The sequence below is a fragment of the Homo sapiens genome, chromosome 20 (genome assembly GCF_000001405.40).
Source record: "Homo sapiens chromosome 20, GRCh38.p14 Primary Assembly".
Lineage (NCBI taxonomy): Eukaryota > Metazoa > Chordata > Mammalia > Primates > Hominidae > Homo > Homo sapiens.
The window spans coordinates 44,611,023-44,628,700 of NC_000020.11; the positions used below are offsets into that span (position 1 = coordinate 44,611,023).

Here is a 17,678-nt window from a genome sequence, read left to right on the forward strand (position 1 = left end):
TTCTGTAGTTATTTTGTAATATAGAATGCCTTTTTTTTTTTTTTTTTTGAGACGGAGTCTCGCTCTGTCTTGCCCAGGGTGGAGTGCAGTGGCGTGATCTCAGCTCACGGCAGTCTCCGCCTCATGGGTTCAAGAGATTCTCCTGTCTCAGCCTCCAGAGTAACTGAGACTACAGGCGTGTGCTACCACACCCGACTAATTTTGTATTTTTAGTAGAGGCGACGTTTCACGATGTTGGCCAGCCCAGTCTCGAACTTCTGACCTCAGGTGAACTACCCGCCTCGGCCTCCCAAAGTGCTGGGATTATAGGCATGAGCCACCGCACCCGGCCTAGAATGCCTTATTGTTAACCATCACCATACTGTACAATAGAACAGGAACTTACTGCTCCTATCTAATTGTAACTATGTACCCGTTGACCAGCTTTCCATCCTTTCCTCTCCTCTCCCCTCCCCAGTCTCTGGTAACCACTGTTGTATTCTCTCCTTCTATATCAACTTTTTTTTTTTTTTTTGACAGAGTTTTGCTCTGTCACCTAGGCTAGAGTGCAGTGTCATGATCTTGGCTCACTGCAAGCTCCGCCTCCTGGGTTCACGCCATTCTCCTGCCTCAGCCTCCTGAGTAGCTGGGACTACAGGCGCCTGCCACCACGCCTGGCTAATTTTTGTTTGTTTTTTTAGTAGAGAGGGGGTTTCACCATGTTGGCCAGGATGGTCTCGATCTCCTGACCTAGTGATCCACCCGCCTCGGCCTCCCAAAGTACTGGGATTACAGGTGTGAGCCACTGTGCCTAGCCGATAACAAATTTTTTTTTTTTTAAGATTCCATGTATGCGTAAAATCATGCAGTATTTGTGTTTCTGTGTCTGGCTTATTTCACTTAACATTATGTCCTCCAGGTTTATCCGTTTTGTCCCAAATAACAAGATTTCATTCTTTTTTATGGCTGAATAGTATTCCTTTGTGTATATATACATTTTCTGTATCCATTCAATCATGTTGGACATTTGGGTTGATTCCATATCTTGGCTATTATAAATAGTGCTGCAGTAAACATAGGAGGTCAGATGTCTTCTTGACATACCAATGTCAGTTCTTTGGATATATACCTAGTAGTGGGATTGTTGGGTCATATGGTACTGTTTTTAATTTTCTCAGGAACCCTCCATACTGTTTTCCATAGTGGCTGTATGGCACATTTCTTTTTTATGACTACTTCATAATTCACGCGATGCCTAACCTCCTGGTGGACATTTGGGTGGTTTCCTATAGGCTGCTATTACTGACCAGGTGCAGTAAACATCCTCACACTAGAGAAAACATTGGGCATTTGCCTGAGTGGGTCTAGAACTAGGATTTGCTGGGTGGGCCCATGGGCCCACCCCACTGGACTATGAACTCCTAAAGTCAGGCCAGTGCTTAGACCACCCCTCCCACTTACTAATTCAGGTCTGCGAGGTAGCCAGAGTCCATGCAATGACTGCTATCTAATTGCCTTCAGAAAACCATAGGTGCTCAATGAGAGATACTAGTATCCCCTTCGCAAATTAACCTTTTGTTAATATAGTAGCAGTACTTCTTGTTGCCAAGAGTACATAAATGGACAATCTTGTGTGCTACTGGTGGGAATATAAATAAAAACAGCACTGACTTTATAAGTCTTTCTGCCAATTTTTTGTCATCATGAATACCACTGTGCTATTTGGGAAGGCAACTGGGAAATGTGTCAAAAATCTAAAAATTATTTCACCCTTCCCTTTAGCCCAGCAGTTCTACTTCTAGGGATATACTCTCAGGAAACAATTAGGGATGGGCACAGAGACTTTCATAAAGTCCCAGTGCTGTGTGTGGCGGTAGAAAACAGGGAAGTACCTCTGTGTTCATTTCTGGAGGCCTCATCCTAGAGTAAATCATGGCCCATCCAAGCATGCTGGCACAAAATTCATGTGGAGGGAGACTTAGTGACATGTTCTAAAGCGTCCCAAAGAGTAGGCTACAAAACACAACATAAGGTATGGTCCCAAATCATTTCTAAATGTATGTGGCTCTTCTTTATATATGTGGCACTCTTCTCTCCTTTCTCTAGACTGTGTTACCAAGCACCAGGGCTGTTAACTGCTGTCTCTGTAGTAAGAACTACTAATTTATTTTTTCTTTTTTTCGAGATGGAGTCTCGCTTTGTCGCCCAGGCTGGAGTGCAGTGGCACAATCTCGGCTCACTGCAAGTTCTGCCTCCCGGGTTCATGCCATTCTCCTGCCTCAGCCTCCTGAGTAGCTGGAACTACAGGCGCCCGCCACCACGCCCGGCTAATTTTTTTGTATTTTTAGTAGAGATGGGATTTCACTGTGTTAGCCAGGATGGTCTTGATCTAGAACTACTAATTTCATATCTTTCCTCCCCACTCCACCTCTCTTCTGAGCTCCAGCCTCCTAGTTCCATGTACCTAGCCTACCTCTCCCCTTGGAGGGCTCACAGGCATCTCAAAGTTACCGAATAGGCCAAACAGGACTTTATGCCCTCAAATATTCCTCCTTTGTTCTTCCATATGTCAGCAAACCACACTTCTGTCCACCTACTTATTCACACCAGAAACCTAAATTACCTGTCAATCCAACACTACTTCTTGTTGGTTCGATTTCCAAGTTATATCTAGAATCCTTCCCACTGCCCCCCTCCTCCACCCACCATCTTGGCACCTGAACTTCACAGGAGCCTCCTAACTTGCCCCTTCCCAGCACTGCTGTGCCCGGCCGCCACAGTCACCTTTGAAAATGCACGGCTGCTACTTCATGGCCTTGCCTAAAGCCCCTCAGGAACCAAGTTCCAGATGTGGTCTGGCTCCTGCCTACCTCAGCAGTGTCCTTGGTGTCATTGTCCCTCTTCTGCCATGCTCCCGCCTGCTGGCTCTTTCTGTCCTTCCAAGCCCTCATGCCTCCCTCCCTCAGAGCCTTCACACATGCTGTTCCCCTCTCTGTAGTGCTCTTCCCCTCACTCTTCATCTGCATGACGCCTCGTCCTCCTTGGTTCTCAGCTAAAATGTCACTTTGTGACCCCCAGCCTTGATCAGGTCCCAGTGATCACTCCAGCACCCTGCATTCTCCCTTGAAGCCTTGAGCACCAAGGCCATGACTTAGGTACGAGGTGACTTTATGCCACCTGTAGTAGATGGTAAGCTCTGTGAGGCCAGGGACCATGGCCAGTTTGTTCATGGTGGTATCTGTGCCAGTGCCTGGCGCATGGTATTAATAAATGTGTGTACATGTTTGTCAATAATTTTATTTAAAGAAAAGTCTGAGCCCATGTTCTTTAAAATGTTGATGGTGGTTGTCTGGGTGTGGAATTATGAGTGACTTGTTTTGTTCTTTGTACTTTTCTGTGCTTTTTGCTTTGTTTTCAATAAGAGGCAATAACTGTCATTTTGACAGAAGCCACTGTGCTGGGGAACTGGAGCTGTCCTCTCTGCAGAATGCATCTGGACTTACCTCTGCCCCCTTGCCTTCTGTCCCCACAGGCCTGAGGAGCGATGCGACAGGCATGATGGAGGTCGAGTCCTCCTACTCGGACTTCATCTCCTGTGACCGGACAGGCCGTCGGAATGCGGTCCCTGACATCCAGGGAGACTCAGAGGCTGTGAGCGTGAGGAAGCTGGCTGGAGACATGGGCGAGCTGGCACTCGAGGGGGCAGGTTAGAGCCAGCAGGTCCTTGGCACTACTGCATGCCAGAGGCCCTCTGCCGGGCCCCGGGCTAGCCTCCAAGTCCTAGACTGCCCATACTTTCTTAGAGAAGAAACCACATTTAAGTCAGGCCTGCCCCATGGTCAGTGGCAGAGTCCAGCAATCTCTAGGTTGGAAGATGTTTGAGTCTCAGGCCCCAAGGACTCCTCTGGACAGGCATCCGGGACTCTTCCTGTCCCCCTGCCCCCTAGCCCAGGTCCCTCCACTTCTCGCTATCCCCACAGCTATACCTGGCTCTGGCCACTCACAGCTCTCACCTGGCTGACTTTAGCGGCCGGCTTCCCTGGGCTCCCTACACCCATCTCCGCCCTTCCTGTTCAGCTCTATGCAGCAGCCAGCAGACCCCATTTAAACCATTCTGTCCATCATGCTTCTGCCAAAAAAAAAAAATCCCCCAGTGGCTTCACTGAGTGAAGCTAAGCTTGTCACATTGCCCTGGGGCAGTCCTGCTGTAGGCCGGGCCCTGCCCAAGTCTCACCCGGTGCCACTCCTCTCCCTGACACCCTCCAGCTACATCTACCTTTGGTCTGTTTCTCAGTCAAGCCTCTCCAAGGGGCCTTCTCTGAGTGCTAGATCAGCCTTCCCCAATCACATGACCCTCATCACTCTCTGACAAGGTCTCAGGGGTCTAAATGTGAGCGCCGGGAGGGCAGAGGCCTTGCATTCTGTTTGGCACACAGCAGGTGCTTGGTAACCACAGACCGAATGACAAAAGGAAACAGCATCCACCCACCCAAGTCCTGGCTGGAACACCCCCACCCCCTCCATTCCCCCAGAGAACCCCTTGGCTCAAGTCCACAGTCAGCCTGGGAATTTCCTTGGGAAGCTTCCCTGACCCCTGCACGGCTGAGGCCTTTCCCTCCTGCTCTCACAGCGCCACAGAGGCCGTGTGTGCTTCTCACAGCACAGCCATCAGGCTGCAACTGTCTCCCCGTGGGCTGTCCGGAGGGCCACAGCCCTGCCCCTCCCTGGGTAGCCCTAGTCTTCTTGCCCCTCACTGGCCAGAAGTGAATCAAAAGTACAGAACAGAGAAGACTTTGCCGGGGCTTGGACCCAGCCCTCTCATGTTACAGATGGACAAACTGAGGCCCAGAGAAGTTGGAGGACTTGCTCTGGGCCACCCAGGGAGTTAACATAGAATCTGGCCGGCTTGAGAGAGAGCCCCCAGCACCCTGTCGACGGAACCCCACCCCAAAAGCCTTCCCTGTCCCATAATCTATTCATTCTCCTCTGTCACGTGGCCCAGGCAGAACCTCCACAGGCTCACCCTGCTCGCCTCTCCAGCATCAACTCTCATCCTCTCGCCAGCCATAGTCAAGTACTTTGATCGCTCAGAAGCCCCTGTGGGCCTTCACACGCTGCACCTCTGTTTGCTTCTCCCCTCCCTCCCCTTGCCTGGCTGGGTTCTCTTCATTCTTAGAGACCCAGGCATCTGCTCAGCTGAGAAGCCTTCCCTGACCGCAGTACCCCTCCCAGACCGGGGAGGCACCTCTTCTCCCTGCTGCCTCCATGAGCCCACTGAGCATAATGGCCCTGCTCTAGACTGAGCTTCTCCAGCACAGGCTCTGTGTCTTGTGCCCTCGGTGCCTGGTGGTGTTTGGCACATGATGGAGGTACCGAGTCAATGGCTGTTCATTGACCGACTGAATGACCAGCATGTCCAGCTGCCACACTGGGCACGCTGCCCTGGGCTCTCTCTCAAGGCTTCTGTGTCCTCACCCTCAGCTCTGGTGAGCTCTGTTCTGTCTCTCTCTCCCTCAGCAGTTGTAGCTGCTGGCCCATGTGCCCAGGCTCTCCTAACACCTGTTTTCCCTGACTCAGATTCCCTAAAGTATGGGTCCTCTGGCTACATGACATTCACCTGCCAGGGTGACTGACATTTAAAAAGGGGGCCTGAGGAAAGAACAGTGCTCACTGAAGGAAAGGAAACACTCACGGTGGCGTCCAGGCAAGAGTGACTGGCCAAGGAGCCTTCCAGGAAGCCCGCAGGGAGCAGTTCCGTTTCACAGGCGGGGCTGCGGGCCACGCCCACTCCAGCGACTCCCCAAGGCAGGGGGAGTACAGAGTTCCAGGCGCCACCCCGCTGGGAATAAAAGCAGGCTTTCCAGGCAGCGGGCTCGGAATAGGGTCCCGAGCTACCACCCACTTCCTAGCTTGCCGCAGGGGCACAGTGAGGCAGTGCTGATGTCAGGCCTCTATAAACCTTCAGGAATGCTGCTTATTGGAGGAGGTTAAATTTGGTAGAAGGGGTACTAGCCTTGGTGGCAGGCAGGGCTCTCCACCCTTGATCCAGGCAAATCAGCTCACCTCGCTGGGCCTCGGTTTTCTCATGCATATCATGACCCTAGTTACACCTCCATGTTACTGTGTGCATTGCACGAGAAAGTGCCCATCCATCTGCAGACCCTGGAGCTTGCTATAGGGTGGTGATTCTCCTGGTTCTGTGAAGGGCTTAGCCTGAAGGATAAAAAGGTGTGGTCTGGTTGGGCTGGATTTGAACTCAGGCCCTCAGTGAGCTTGTAGGGCACCTAGTAACATTGCACAGTGTCACTGGGGTTTAAGAATGTACCACCTATTGAGCTCTGCCCACATGCCAGGCCCCACGTGGTGCACCTTATGAAAAGACACCTGTTTATCATGCAGCCTGAGGAGGAAAGCATGGAGACTGGGGCCTGGGTGTGAGTTTGGCACTCCCCTCAACCTGCACTGCTGGTCCAGTGGGTGGCAGGAGCTGCCTGTCCCACCTTGCACAGGGGGGCTCAAGGGAAGCTGAAAGTGAGGAGACTTGGCTTGTATCCTGACTCCCCTCAGTGAGGTGCTCCATCTCTGTGAGCCTGCTGCTGCCCCTCACCCCACCAAGATGTCTGACAGGATGGATTTGAGAAGGAGGTACAACACACACCCCATGATGCACGGTTGGCCCCCACAGACTCTGATGCAGGCCACACCCTGGCGCTCCCTGAGCTGGCCTGGTTCAGTGCTCTTTACTCTCTTAGAAGAACATTGGCCGGGCACGGTGGCTCACACCTATAATCCCAGCACTTTGGGAGGCTGAGGCAGGCAGATCACCTGAGGTCAGGAGTTTGAGACCAGTCTGGCCAACATGGTGAAACCCCGTCTCTACTAAAAATACAAAAATTAAAAAAAAAACAAACAAACAGAACAGCTGCCATTTGCTGAGCACCTGTGACACACTGGGGACTTAACATCTGGCCTCTCCCTCTGGGGAACCTGCACAAACAAAGCAACCTTCAAGAGCCCTTCACTTGATGCTTTAAGCACCCATCCATAATGGCCCTTAATTGACTCTTAATTATACTAACAAACACTATGTGTATTTCCATGTAAAAAGATGTTACAGACCAGGCTAAAGTCCATAGGCCACCACCACCTCAGTCCAGCTCCAGCTCGTCTTGCTCCCCAGGGCATATCCACTGCTATCAGTTTGGCTGGGCCCTTTCACACCTCCTTCTGTGCATTACTTTGTGTATATGTGCCCAAGAAAAACCTCTTTCTCTCCTCTCCAGAAGGACAGGTGGAGGGAAGCGCCCCAGACAAGGAAGCTGGCAACCAGCCCCAGAGCAGCGATGGGACCACCTCGTCTTGAATCTGACCTTGTCCAAGAAGGCTGGACGAGAGACCTTCTGTCCCCTCCCAGAGGGGGAACCCTGGCACTGGCCCAGCAGCCTCTTCTCTGAGCTCCATGTCCCAGATAAACCAGGCCAGACTGAGAAGGCTCCCCAGAGGCCTCTGTGGCCTCCACTCCGGGAAAGCCCTCTGCCCACACCCACAGGCTTCACATTCCCACCACCTTCGCACCGTGCCCAGGTACACTTTCAAGACACTGTAACCACAAGATGTTATTTATTGAGCTGGCGCCGGGACTTGGGCGGGGCCTGCCCTACAGTGAGCAGCCCACACAGGAACGCTCCTCTCGCGAGCGGCCCGGGCAGGGACCCTGTCCCAACACCAACACCTCCTCTCCAGCCCAATCTTCTGGGTCCAGACCTGCTTGTCCCTTTTTTAGAAAACACTTTTAAACTTTTTAAAAATTTTAAACCTTTTTTCAGCAGATATGGAGAGAGCTGACAATCAATTCACATTTTTTAAGCCATTTTAGCTAAACTGTCATTGTGCATCTCTGAGGTTCCCTCATGGAGCTCCACAGATCCATTTTTAGGGAAGGGATTTTGGCTCAAAACGATCTGACCACCTCTGCCCTGTCCACCAGGATAAGTGACACCTAGGACCCAGGAAATAAATGCCGATGATTTGTGTGACTGGTTTAAGATTATTTCTCCTTAACCTTGCAAAAACAGGGGTTGGGCCTTATTTTCCCCAAGTCCACAATTAGCCGGACTTGCCCCAGGCTTCTAGAACATACGATTCTGAGAAGATGCTGGCGTTCTGCAGAGGCCAGCACCCTCCAAGGCCAGTGTCTGATGAGCCCTCTTCCATCTCATCTGCTCTCACCCCAACTGCCAGCTTCAGGAACCCAAAAGGAAGCTTTACTCCTTAAAACCTAGAGTTAGGAGGGGCTGAGAGTTCAGGGAATGTTTGAGCAACAACCAGAGAAGCCTTATTTCTTCTGGAAGGAGGACAGCCTCTGGACCCCTCTTGGCCCACAGCATTGGGATCTCTGGCCTGGCATTCACAGCCACCCTTAGGCTCAGGCCCTGCTGCTGAGCAGGCTGACCCAGCTCCCTCCATGCTCATCCTGCCCACATCGGCCCGCCCAAGACCACCAAATTACATGCCACCTGCTGCATGCCACCAGCCATGGGCTTCTTTATTGAGCACCAGATTTTCAGTACAAGTTGCCACAGAAGGAGGGTTTCAGATTCAACCATGCCCATGTGCAAGGGCGCTGGTCCCTGGCCAGGGCACATAATCAGAGAAGTGACGCGGCCATGCCGAGGTATACGTGTGTGCAGAAATGGACACATAGGGTTCAGGAGCATCAGTAACTGACTATTGAGATCATGGTCTTCTTGGAAGGAATAAATGTAAAAATGTTGCTCAGCCCCACAGAGTTGGGGTGACTCCACAGGGTGAAGGCTTGGAGGAGTGGCGTCTTCAGAGGTTCTGCCCTGCTCGTTGGTTCAGAGAAGCAAAAAGATCAGGCAACTTGTAGTACCCAGGATGTTGTAAAAATCATAGAACACCAGAACCAGAAAGGAACTCCTTCCTATGATGGCAAGAAGATGCCTTGCCAAGACCACATAGGAAGAAAGGAGCAGAACAGGCCTGGGCCCCTCTCCCTGCCCTTGGCTTTGGGCAGCCATGGAGGTGTCCCCAACTGCCCAGACCTTTGGGACTGGGCTTCAGAAAGTCTCCCCTTAGAACAGCCTCTCAAGAACTTTTATAGAAAACAAACCGATCTAATGAGACGCTGCTCCCAGCCAGGGCCCAGAAACCAGGGAGTCATCACACATTCATGGCGCTGCCCAAGAATGGAAGGGCATCTTGCTAGAAGTCCCACAGAAAGCCACACTGGGGCCAGGACAGGGCAACTGCCCAGAAGCCCAGACAGGAACCTACCTGCAGAGGCTGAAGGTGGCATCCCATAGGCTTTATAGAGCAGGTCGAGAAGCTCCCTCTTTTCATCTTCTGGGAGGAAACTAGATTTGGCCGCATTGATGTTCTGGAAAGGCCAGAATGGCAGACAACATGGAACCAGAGAACAAAGAAGGCAGCTCTTAGCAATGTAGTGATAGTCCATCCTCTTCACTCAACATGGGCAGATACGCTTAGAGGGGGAAGGATTTGTCCACTGTCACACGGCAGCAAGTGCCAGAGTAGAGACCATGAGGTCGTGTTCTTAATTTGTCATTACATGAAAAAGGGCTGTGAGAAGGAAGTTGGAGAAACCTTTGAGAGACAGGGTGGCATGTAGGGGGCCAGAGACACCTCGCAGACACGTGCAGGAATGGACTTATTCAGCCTGGGATTTAAGAACAACCTGAAGAGAGTGTGCAAGACTTCATAGCTGCTGCACACACCTTTCTGGGGAGAGGGTTGACAGCTTTCACTGGATTCTTTAAAGGCACTCAACCCAAGCAAAGGATCAAAAACCTGGTCCTAGGTCAGGACGTCAACACAAAGATGTCTTCTCTGTGGAAAGTGTCTAGGTTGGGCTTGTCTTGGACTGTTGAGGCAGACTCACTCCCTCTCTCCAAAGATTCCAGGCCCCGGACTGGACCTGTAGATACCATACTCCCAAACCCGAGTCAAGGCCAGTATGGCTCACACCCACTCACCAGCCTTTTAAACTCCTCTTCAGTAAAGCCCATGTCCCGTTTGGTCATCTGGTAATCAGTGTCCAGGGTGGACTTGAAGATGAGCGGGTCATCTGTGTTGAGCGAGTAGTTAGCCTGGTCATTTTTGAGCCTGCAGAAGAGGGAGGAGGAGAGAATCAGCCTCCTTTTACTCTTACATAAATAGTCAGAACACATTGACGTTCACCCGCCTTTGATCCTCACAGCAGCCTCAAACAGATCTGAAAGATCTGATCCTTGTGCAGAGGGGGAAATAAATTCAGAACTTAGGTGACTTGTTCAAGTCTATGTAACCAGAAAGTCCAGAATCCAGCCCATCCTGAAGACCAGAGCTGGGCAAAGGCAGCAGAGGGGCCAGACATGGGAACCAGGCAGAATGGCAGCCGGTGGGGGCGTGGGGGTGGGAGCCAAGAAAGCAACATCCCCCTCCGGCTGCCACCCTCTCCAGCCTTCCCCTCTGCACCCTACCCTGCTTGTTCCTCAGTCCCACTGGGAGCTGGCTACTCCAACATACCATGGAAGCTGTTCTTGGCACGATCCCTGACCACCATCTTGTTGTATCTAATGGATCTTTCCTAGCTCTGACCATAATCGACTTGCATAGCAGAATTTCACACTGTTGACTGTTTCTTGAAACCTTTTCCCTGGATTTCTGTGACACCACACTTTTGACTTTCCTCCTACTTGTCTCTTTTGCTGGTCCCTTAAATACCATTGTCCTTCTGGGTTCTATCCTAGGCCCTTCTTGCTCCACCACCTCCTGGGGCCACTGCTTCTCCTTCAGCCACCATATCTGTGCAGATGACTCCTGGATCTTTTTCCAGCCCATGGTATACCCACATGCCTCCAAGAACCTCCACAGGTGCCACGTGTCCCTAAGGCAAGCCCCAAGACCCCCTTGTCATCAGAACATCAGAGCCGAAGCCCCTCCCCTTCTCATATGCCTGGCAGATGGATAAGTGCTGGCCTGACCATGGTCACCCTGAGTTCTTGCTGTCCTTGTCTTGGGGAAGGCGGCTTTTTCCTAAGGCCTGATACTGCTCCTGTGGCTTGGCGACAGGACGGAAGGAGGGCCTTGACCCTGGTTAGACTCCAGGATGGGAGCCAGGCAGGGTGGAACAGACCCTCCGGTGGAAAGCTTCAAGATGGCGCTCAGGGGAATGCCCAGGGGTCCCAAGGGCCAGGTGTCAGGAAGAGAGAACATGCTGGCCAGAGGGACTCCTGCTTCCTATGCGATGCCCAGGGGGCAGAGTTGGGAGAATTGGAAGTGTGGAAGCTTCCCTCAGAGTAATGGAGCGTTCTGCTCCAGCTGATGAGCTGTAGGGCCCCAGCTCTGCTGGTTAGCAGCTGGGTAATCCCAGTCAAGCCACAGCACATCTGGGCCTCGGATTCCTCATTTGTAAGATGAGGACGGCAATGCCTGCTTCCCAGGGTGTCGAAGAGATTTCATATCTAAAAGACGCGGCATGGGCTGATGCCCAATCCCTAAAGTTTCTTCCCTCTTTGGCCTTCCTGGAACAAAATTGAACAGGCCCAGGGGAACAGAGCTCACCGAATGACTGCATGCTCCGTGTCCGGCTTCCAGGCACCAGTGAGGTAGCTGGACCAGGGGCAGATCTGGAAGAGCAGGTGTGTGGCTGGCAGGGATGGCCCCAGGCCATGCTGATTCCTCCCCCCATGTCTGGGCCTGGGGCCACCCCTCGAGTTCCTGGGACCCGCCCTGCTTTCTGCCTCTCTATACAGGAAGTTGGGACAGCCGGGGATGGTTCCTCCCCACTCCCTGGCCCGCTTACCTCGAAGTGCATGTTTTCCTGCCGCAGCCTGTTATAAAGGGCCTGGTCTTCCAGGGTGTGGTAGCCGTGTCCCAGCCGCTCTGTCTTGAGTATGTCCACAGCCTGTAGAGAAGCAGAATAGAGCCAAGTATGGGAGGAGGCAGTGAGGAGGGACCCCATGGCCAGCCCAGGCCCTCACCTCTTTTACTACTTCGGCCGAGCCCACCTCCCCGGCGTGGACAGTACGGTGAATGCCGCTCTTCACAGCCTCCTGGAAGGGGGAGAGCCAGGTCATGGGTGCCCTAGCGGGAGGGCCCCGGCAGGCCCTGCCTTGACCATGCTGTGGAGATTGAACCATCCTAGTCATGCTGCCTGCTTCAACAGCATGGGGAAACCTGGTCTTTTACCCTCCAAGTCCTTATCTAAGTGGTAGCTGTCACTCATTAGCCAGTTACCATGTGTCAGGTAGTATATGAAGTGACTTGTATACATTATCTAATATTCACAACTATTATCCCACCCATTTTATGATGAAGGACTGAAGCTCAGGAGATTCAAGTAATGTGACCAAGGTCAGACAGGAAGTGTGGAACCAAGCTCTGAGCCCGGGCAGTGGGACTCCAGAGCCCTGACTTCTCCACCATGCTGCACCCTCCACAGGAGGCCCATTCATCATCACGCTGGAAGCGACTTTTGAGATGTCGGCTCCAACTCAGTCATCCCAATAGAAGAAACAGAGGCCCAGAGAAGACACAGTGTTGCCCAGGTTCACACAGCAAATCACAGCCAGAAGCAGGCTCAGCACAGGACTCCCAACACCAAGTGGAGGCTTTTCTTTCTCTCTCCCTTCCTTCCTTCTTTCCTTCCTTCCTCCCTCCCTCCCTTCCTCTTTTTCCTTCCTTCCTCTCTTTCTTTCTCTTTCTTTTCTCTTTCTTCTTTCTTCCTTTTTTTTTTTTTTGAGACAGGGTCTCCCTCTGTCACCCAGGCTGGAGTGCAGTCGCATTATCACAGCTCACTGCAGCTTTGACTTCCTGGACTCAAGCAATTCTCCCACCTCAGCCTCCCAAGTAGCTGGGACTACAGGCATGCACCACCATGCCTGACTACTTTTTTTTGTATTTGCAGAGATGGATCTCACTATGTTGCCCTGGCTGGTCTCAAACTCCTAGGCTCAAGCAATCCTCCTGCCTCGCCTCCCAAAGTGCTGGGATCACAGGCATGAACCACCACGCCTGGCCCAGGGGGATTCCAGTTCCAAGCCTTAAGACCCAACAAAGACACACTTCAGAACTCAGGAGACACCATGGTCCCTGGTTCTTGTGATTTCTCCCAACTATGGGTGGGAGACAAGCTCACCCAGGGCCAGCCTCTCCATTCCTTCTCACAGGACCCACCTGGTAGGCCTGGACATGTCCAGGCAAGAGGCTGCTTCCTGGGATGGTCTCATCTCCAGCCAGGTCAATGGCTACCACGGTCTGCTGCTGGTACTTCTTACACAGCTCCACCACCTTGGGGGACCAGTCTGTGGGCGAGATGCCCACCCAGGCTCTGTCACCAGCACCATGGAGAGACCTCCCAGCCTACCTGCCTGCTGTCCCACCCAAACCCCCCATGGGAGGCCAGCACAAAACAGGGCTCAGTGTCTTCAAATCCTAACTGCTATGTCCTAACCACATGGCCTGCGGAAAACTGCTCTGCTTATGGCCTCAGTTTCCGCCCTTTTCAGAAAGAACCCTGCCAGCTATTGCACAGGGTCACGGCCAGGCTTTGCCGAGGCCATGTGTGTAAAGCACCAAGGACGGGGCCTGAGCTCAGTAAATGACACGGACCCTTCTCTCACCTGGTGTTTCCAACAACACTCATGGTAGGCTTATTCCCATGCGCAGATGAGGAAACGGAGGACCGTTTAACACGTCATCTAAAATAGAACTCACACTAGTATTGGGAAGTATCTCGCTAATGTATTAGGTACTCTTAACCAATAAAGTTATTCTGAAGTGTTTAAGAAAGAATGAATGAACACAGGCTTTGGAACTAGATGTCCCCGGATACAAATCCAGGGTTTGTGCCTTGCAAGAGGCTGCACCTCACTCCACCTCAGTTTCCTCATCTGTCAAATGGGACTAAGCAATGGTAGTTCTGCTTTGCAGGCTGCTGCGAGGATTAGAGGAAATGCGTGCAGGTAGCTCTTTGGTTCTTACTAATCCTGAGGGTAGAGGAATGAAGTAAGTGTGATCATCTCCTTGTGACAGTGCACAACTGAGGTGTCTTGGTGCATAACCAGAGCAGCAGTGTGACCTGCCCAATATCACACAGTGAGGCTGTGCACCATGAGGCACAAACTCTAGAGATCTGATCTGCGTCAGTGACAAGGGAGACCCCTCAGAAATCTTGGAAATCAGACCTATTCAGGCCCAGACAGGATGGGGCCTGGTCCACTGGGTCTCGAGGGAGGACTATGGGCTGATCAGAATCTAGCCTAGATTTTTTTTTCAATAGTTACGTTCCTATTTGGTGTTGAGCTTCCTGCAGGGTGGCTATAAAGGCATGGTGTCCCTGGGGAGAACATCTCCAGAAGTTCTGAGCCTGCCTAGGAGGTCTCCAGTTGTTTCATGAAGCCCCAAGTTCATGCCAGTGGGCTCAAGGGGACACCATGGGGCTGTGGGGCACAGGGGAGATCAGGTACAGCCCCACTGCTAGGCCAGGAGGTCAGGGCCAGGGTGAGACGGGCGGCCCTGGGCAGGGCGGTGATCCTACTCACTGGGCTGGTGGCGCATGCAGCACAGGATGGACCGGGCCTTGACCCCGAAGTCTCGCTCCCCCTCCTGCAGGCCCTGGCCCACTAGGGCCACCACCTCGTCTGGGGTGAGGTCCCCTCTGTGTGAGGAGAGGAGTAGGGATGGGCCTGAGGCAAAAGGAAGGCCTAAAGGGCAGCTCTGGGACTGGGACAGAGGAGGAAGAGGAGGCTTTGGGGAGGACCCTCCTCCCCCACTGACCCACTGCCTCAGAGGAAAGACTGGCAGAGATGCCCCCAGGCCCTAGCATGTCCCTCTAGCTCTTAAAGCAGCTGGGTGCTCCTAGATCTTAGTGGGAGGTGTGGGGTGTCAACATGGCCCTCCCCACCCCCAGATGGACAGCATTGCTAAGCTTGGGCCTGCCATGATGTTCACATTCTATATGTATCAGAATCATGGCTCAGAAAATGGGGCAGGGTGGTTTTGTGATACCACTTAGAGATCCATGGGGGCCCAGGCAGGGGGCTAGAAATGGGCCAGACTCACTTCAGTTATGAAGTTAGAGCAGGACCTTTAGGGCCTTTAGAGATCTGATCAGCATCAGTGACAAGGGAGACCCCTCAGAAATCCTGGGTGGCTAAGCAGGTTAACATTCCTGGACAGCAGGCCTGTGGCCAGAGCAAGACACAGCCAAACACTTGTGCCCAAGGTAAGAACATAACGGCAAAGGGAGGATGGGAACCACGTCTCTTGTGACAGAGTTAAACCCATCTTTCTGAGGCCATGGACCAGACTGGGGGCAAGAACAAGGTCTTGCTTGGGTCAGGGATTCCCAGCAGTTCGCCCTTCCAGTCTCAGAGCTGAGCCTCCCAGCCACACCCTCAGCATGGCCCCTTCCAGGCCCATCACTCACTCAGCCTGGTTCCAGGGGATTGGCTCCACTTTGGAGTTGGCCAGCAGGTGCGGACTGTACCGCACCTCCACATACACCACGCCCTCTTTGGCCTTCATCTCTACAAACTCATAGGCGATCCTTTTGATAGCCTCCCGGCAGCCCCTGGGAAGGGAAGAAAGGGGTTGGGAACAACCTTCCCCAAGTCCCTTGGGAGCTCCAGGAGCAAATGACATCCCCAACCCTTGGCAGATTAAACCCACTTCATCCCCCAGACCCAAGCTCTGGGCATCCACTGGATAAGATCCCAGACACTGGGCAAGTCCTATCAGCTCTACTTTGGAACTGCATACCAGTTCTCACCCCTCCATCCTGGCCTGAATCACGCCATCTCTAACTGGCCTCCCTGTCTCCATGCTTGCCCCTGTCATCCTGTTCTCCACCCAGCAGTTGGGGCAATCTTTTAAGAAGGTAAATCAAAGCATATCACTTCTCCCCTCGAAGCCCCAGTAGCTTCCTGCCACGGAGAGTGACATCGCAACTCCCAGGTCCTGCCCACAAGGCCTGCATCCTCCAGGCCTTGCCAGCCTCCCCAGCACCTTCCTTCTCCCTCATTCCCTGAGGCCACCGGAGAAGACACAGGCCTGCTCTTCCCCGATACTGTCCTACACTGCGTCTCTCCCGCTCCCCTGGTTTAGAGCCAGCTGAAGCTTCACCTCCTCAGAGAGGCCTTCCCTGACCACCTTATCTTTTTTTTTTTTTTTTGAGACAGAATCTTGCTCTGTCGCCCAGGCTGGAGTGCAGTGGCGCCATCTCAGCTCACTGCAGCCTCTGCCTCCTGGGTTCAAGTGATTCGTCTGCCTCAGCCTCCCAAGTAGCTGGGATTACAGGCGCATGCCACCACGCCCGGCTAATTTTTTGTATTTTTAGTAGAGACAGCGTTTCGCTGTGTTAGCCAGGATGGTCTCGATCTCCTGACCTCATGATCCGCCCACCTCAGCCTCCCAAAGTGCTGGGGATACAGGCGTGAGCCACTGTACCTGGCCCAGACCGCCTTATCTTAAAACGGCCCCTCCACCATTCTCCTGGGCTTTCTTTTTCTCCCAGGTCCTTATCACTACTCAACATTGTGTGTCATATGGCTTATCAGCCAGTTTGCTGTATTCCCTACTAGAATGCAGTCTCCATGTGGCAAGGACCCCTCTGTCTTGGGATGGCTGCGACCTCTCAGCTGAGGACCATGCCTAGGACAGAGTAGCCCAATATTTGTTGGTGATGGAGTTAAGGCTGGCAGGGAAGAGAAATGAGAGAAAAGGACACAGCTGGACAAGTCCAGAGGGATGCCTGGATGTGGGAGACACGTGGGATACAGTCATGGACTTGGATCCTTGTGCCCACACTTATCTGCTGTGTGACCCCTGGTTAGTCACCCTCTGACACCTAGGTCAAGGAGTTATTGCGGGGACAAATGAGTCAAACTTCATAAACCCCACCCGGGTCAGTGCTTGGAGCAGAGCGGACAAATGCTCAAAACATTTTCGTTGTTATTACTGCATGTTTGTTCCAGAAGCAAGGCACAAATTGGCCTGCCAGGGCCACTGTGTTGATCACGTAACGGTGGACTGTGCTTAGCTGGAAGTTCCCACCATGAAGAGTGAAAATGAAGTGGTTACTAGAATGTGTGAGGGAAGGCACACAAGTGCTGGGAGAGCCCAGCGTGGGAAGAAAGTGCCCTGCCCAGGGGAGATCAGGCCACTCTCAGGAGAAGGGGTCACCAGAAGTTCTTGCATCTTCAGGATGAGGATGGAGGCCAGGCGCAGTGGCTCACGCCTGTAATCCCAGCATTTTGGGAGGCCGAGGCGGGCAGATCACCTGAGGTCAGGAATTCGAGACCAGCCTGGCAAACATAGTAAAACCCCATCTCTACTAAAAATACAAAACCATTAGTTGGGTGTGATGGTGGGTGCCTGTGATCCCAGCTACTTGGGAGGCTAAAGCAGGAGAATCCCTTAAACTGGGAGGTGGAGGTTGCAGTGAGCTGAGATCGCACCACTGCACTTCAGCCTGGGCAACAGAGTGAGACTCTGTCTCAATAAATAAATAAATAAATAAATAAATAAATAAATAAAGCAGTCATGGAAATTTCTCTCTAGTACTCGCCCATACCCCTTCTGGGCCTTTTCGGTACCTAGTGCTGTTCCCTGGCGACTCAAGACAAGAAAAAGAAAAAGCCTTTTGGAGAATCTTCCCCACATCTCCCCGCCCC

At 52.5% G+C, this 17,678-nt stretch overlaps 2 protein-coding genes across 15 annotated transcripts in view, besides 2 other annotated features; one reads left to right on the forward strand and one right to left on the reverse strand.

The window, feature by feature from the left end:
* PKIG (cAMP-dependent protein kinase inhibitor gamma) overlaps positions 1-8,015 on the forward strand; it is an 87,163-nt gene extending 79,148 nt beyond the window's left edge. For all 11 annotated transcript variants that reach the window (NM_181805.3, NM_001281444.2, NM_181804.3 and 8 more), the window contains 2 exons: positions 3,512-3,685; positions 7,263-8,015. In NM_181805.3, the coding sequence (NP_861521.1) occupies positions 3,535-3,685; positions 7,263-7,342 (231 nt within the window). In that variant the 5' untranslated portion in view covers positions 3,512-3,534 and the 3' untranslated portion in view covers positions 7,343-8,015. The remainder of the gene's footprint in view (positions 1-3,511; positions 3,686-7,262) is intronic.
* Positions 4,728-4,857: an enhancer, noted in NCBI's record as "active region_17933". NCBI's record gives its function as "activates an Ori minimal core promoter by ATAC-STARR-seq in GM12878 lymphoblastoid cells {active_cell/tissue: GM12878}" and the evidence as "EXISTENCE:reporter gene assay evidence [ECO:0000049][PMID:35858748]".
* Positions 6,752-7,479: an enhancer, noted in NCBI's record as "OCT4-NANOG-H3K4me1 hESC enhancer chr20:43246415-43247142 (GRCh37/hg19 assembly coordinates)". NCBI's record gives its function as "activates a minimal SCP1, AML or CMV promoter by ChIP-STARR-seq in naive and primed H9 embryonic stem cells {active_cell/tissue: H9 hESC(naive and primed)}" and the evidence as "EXISTENCE:reporter gene assay evidence [ECO:0000049][PMID:30033119]".
* Positions 8,500-17,678, reverse strand: part of ADA (adenosine deaminase) — a 32,178-nt gene continuing 22,999 nt past the window's right edge. Inside the window, exons 4-12 of one of the 4 annotated variants that reach the window (NM_000022.4) lie at positions 15,434-15,577; positions 14,547-14,662; positions 13,180-13,307; positions 11,985-12,056; positions 11,807-11,908; positions 11,566-11,630; positions 9,996-10,125; positions 9,277-9,379; positions 8,500-8,825 (exon numbers count right to left, since the gene is read on the reverse strand). In NM_000022.4, coding sequence (NP_000013.2) covers positions 8,812-8,825; positions 9,277-9,379; positions 9,996-10,125; positions 11,566-11,630; positions 11,807-11,908; positions 11,985-12,056; positions 13,180-13,307; positions 14,547-14,662; positions 15,434-15,577 — 874 coding nt within the window. In that variant the 3' untranslated portion in view covers positions 8,500-8,811. The remainder of the gene's footprint in view (positions 8,826-9,276; positions 9,380-9,995; positions 10,126-11,565; positions 11,631-11,806; positions 11,909-11,984; positions 12,057-13,179; positions 13,308-14,546; positions 14,663-15,433; positions 15,578-17,678) is intronic. The other 3 variants (NR_136160.2, NM_001322050.2, NM_001322051.2) reach the window with 3 other exon arrangements.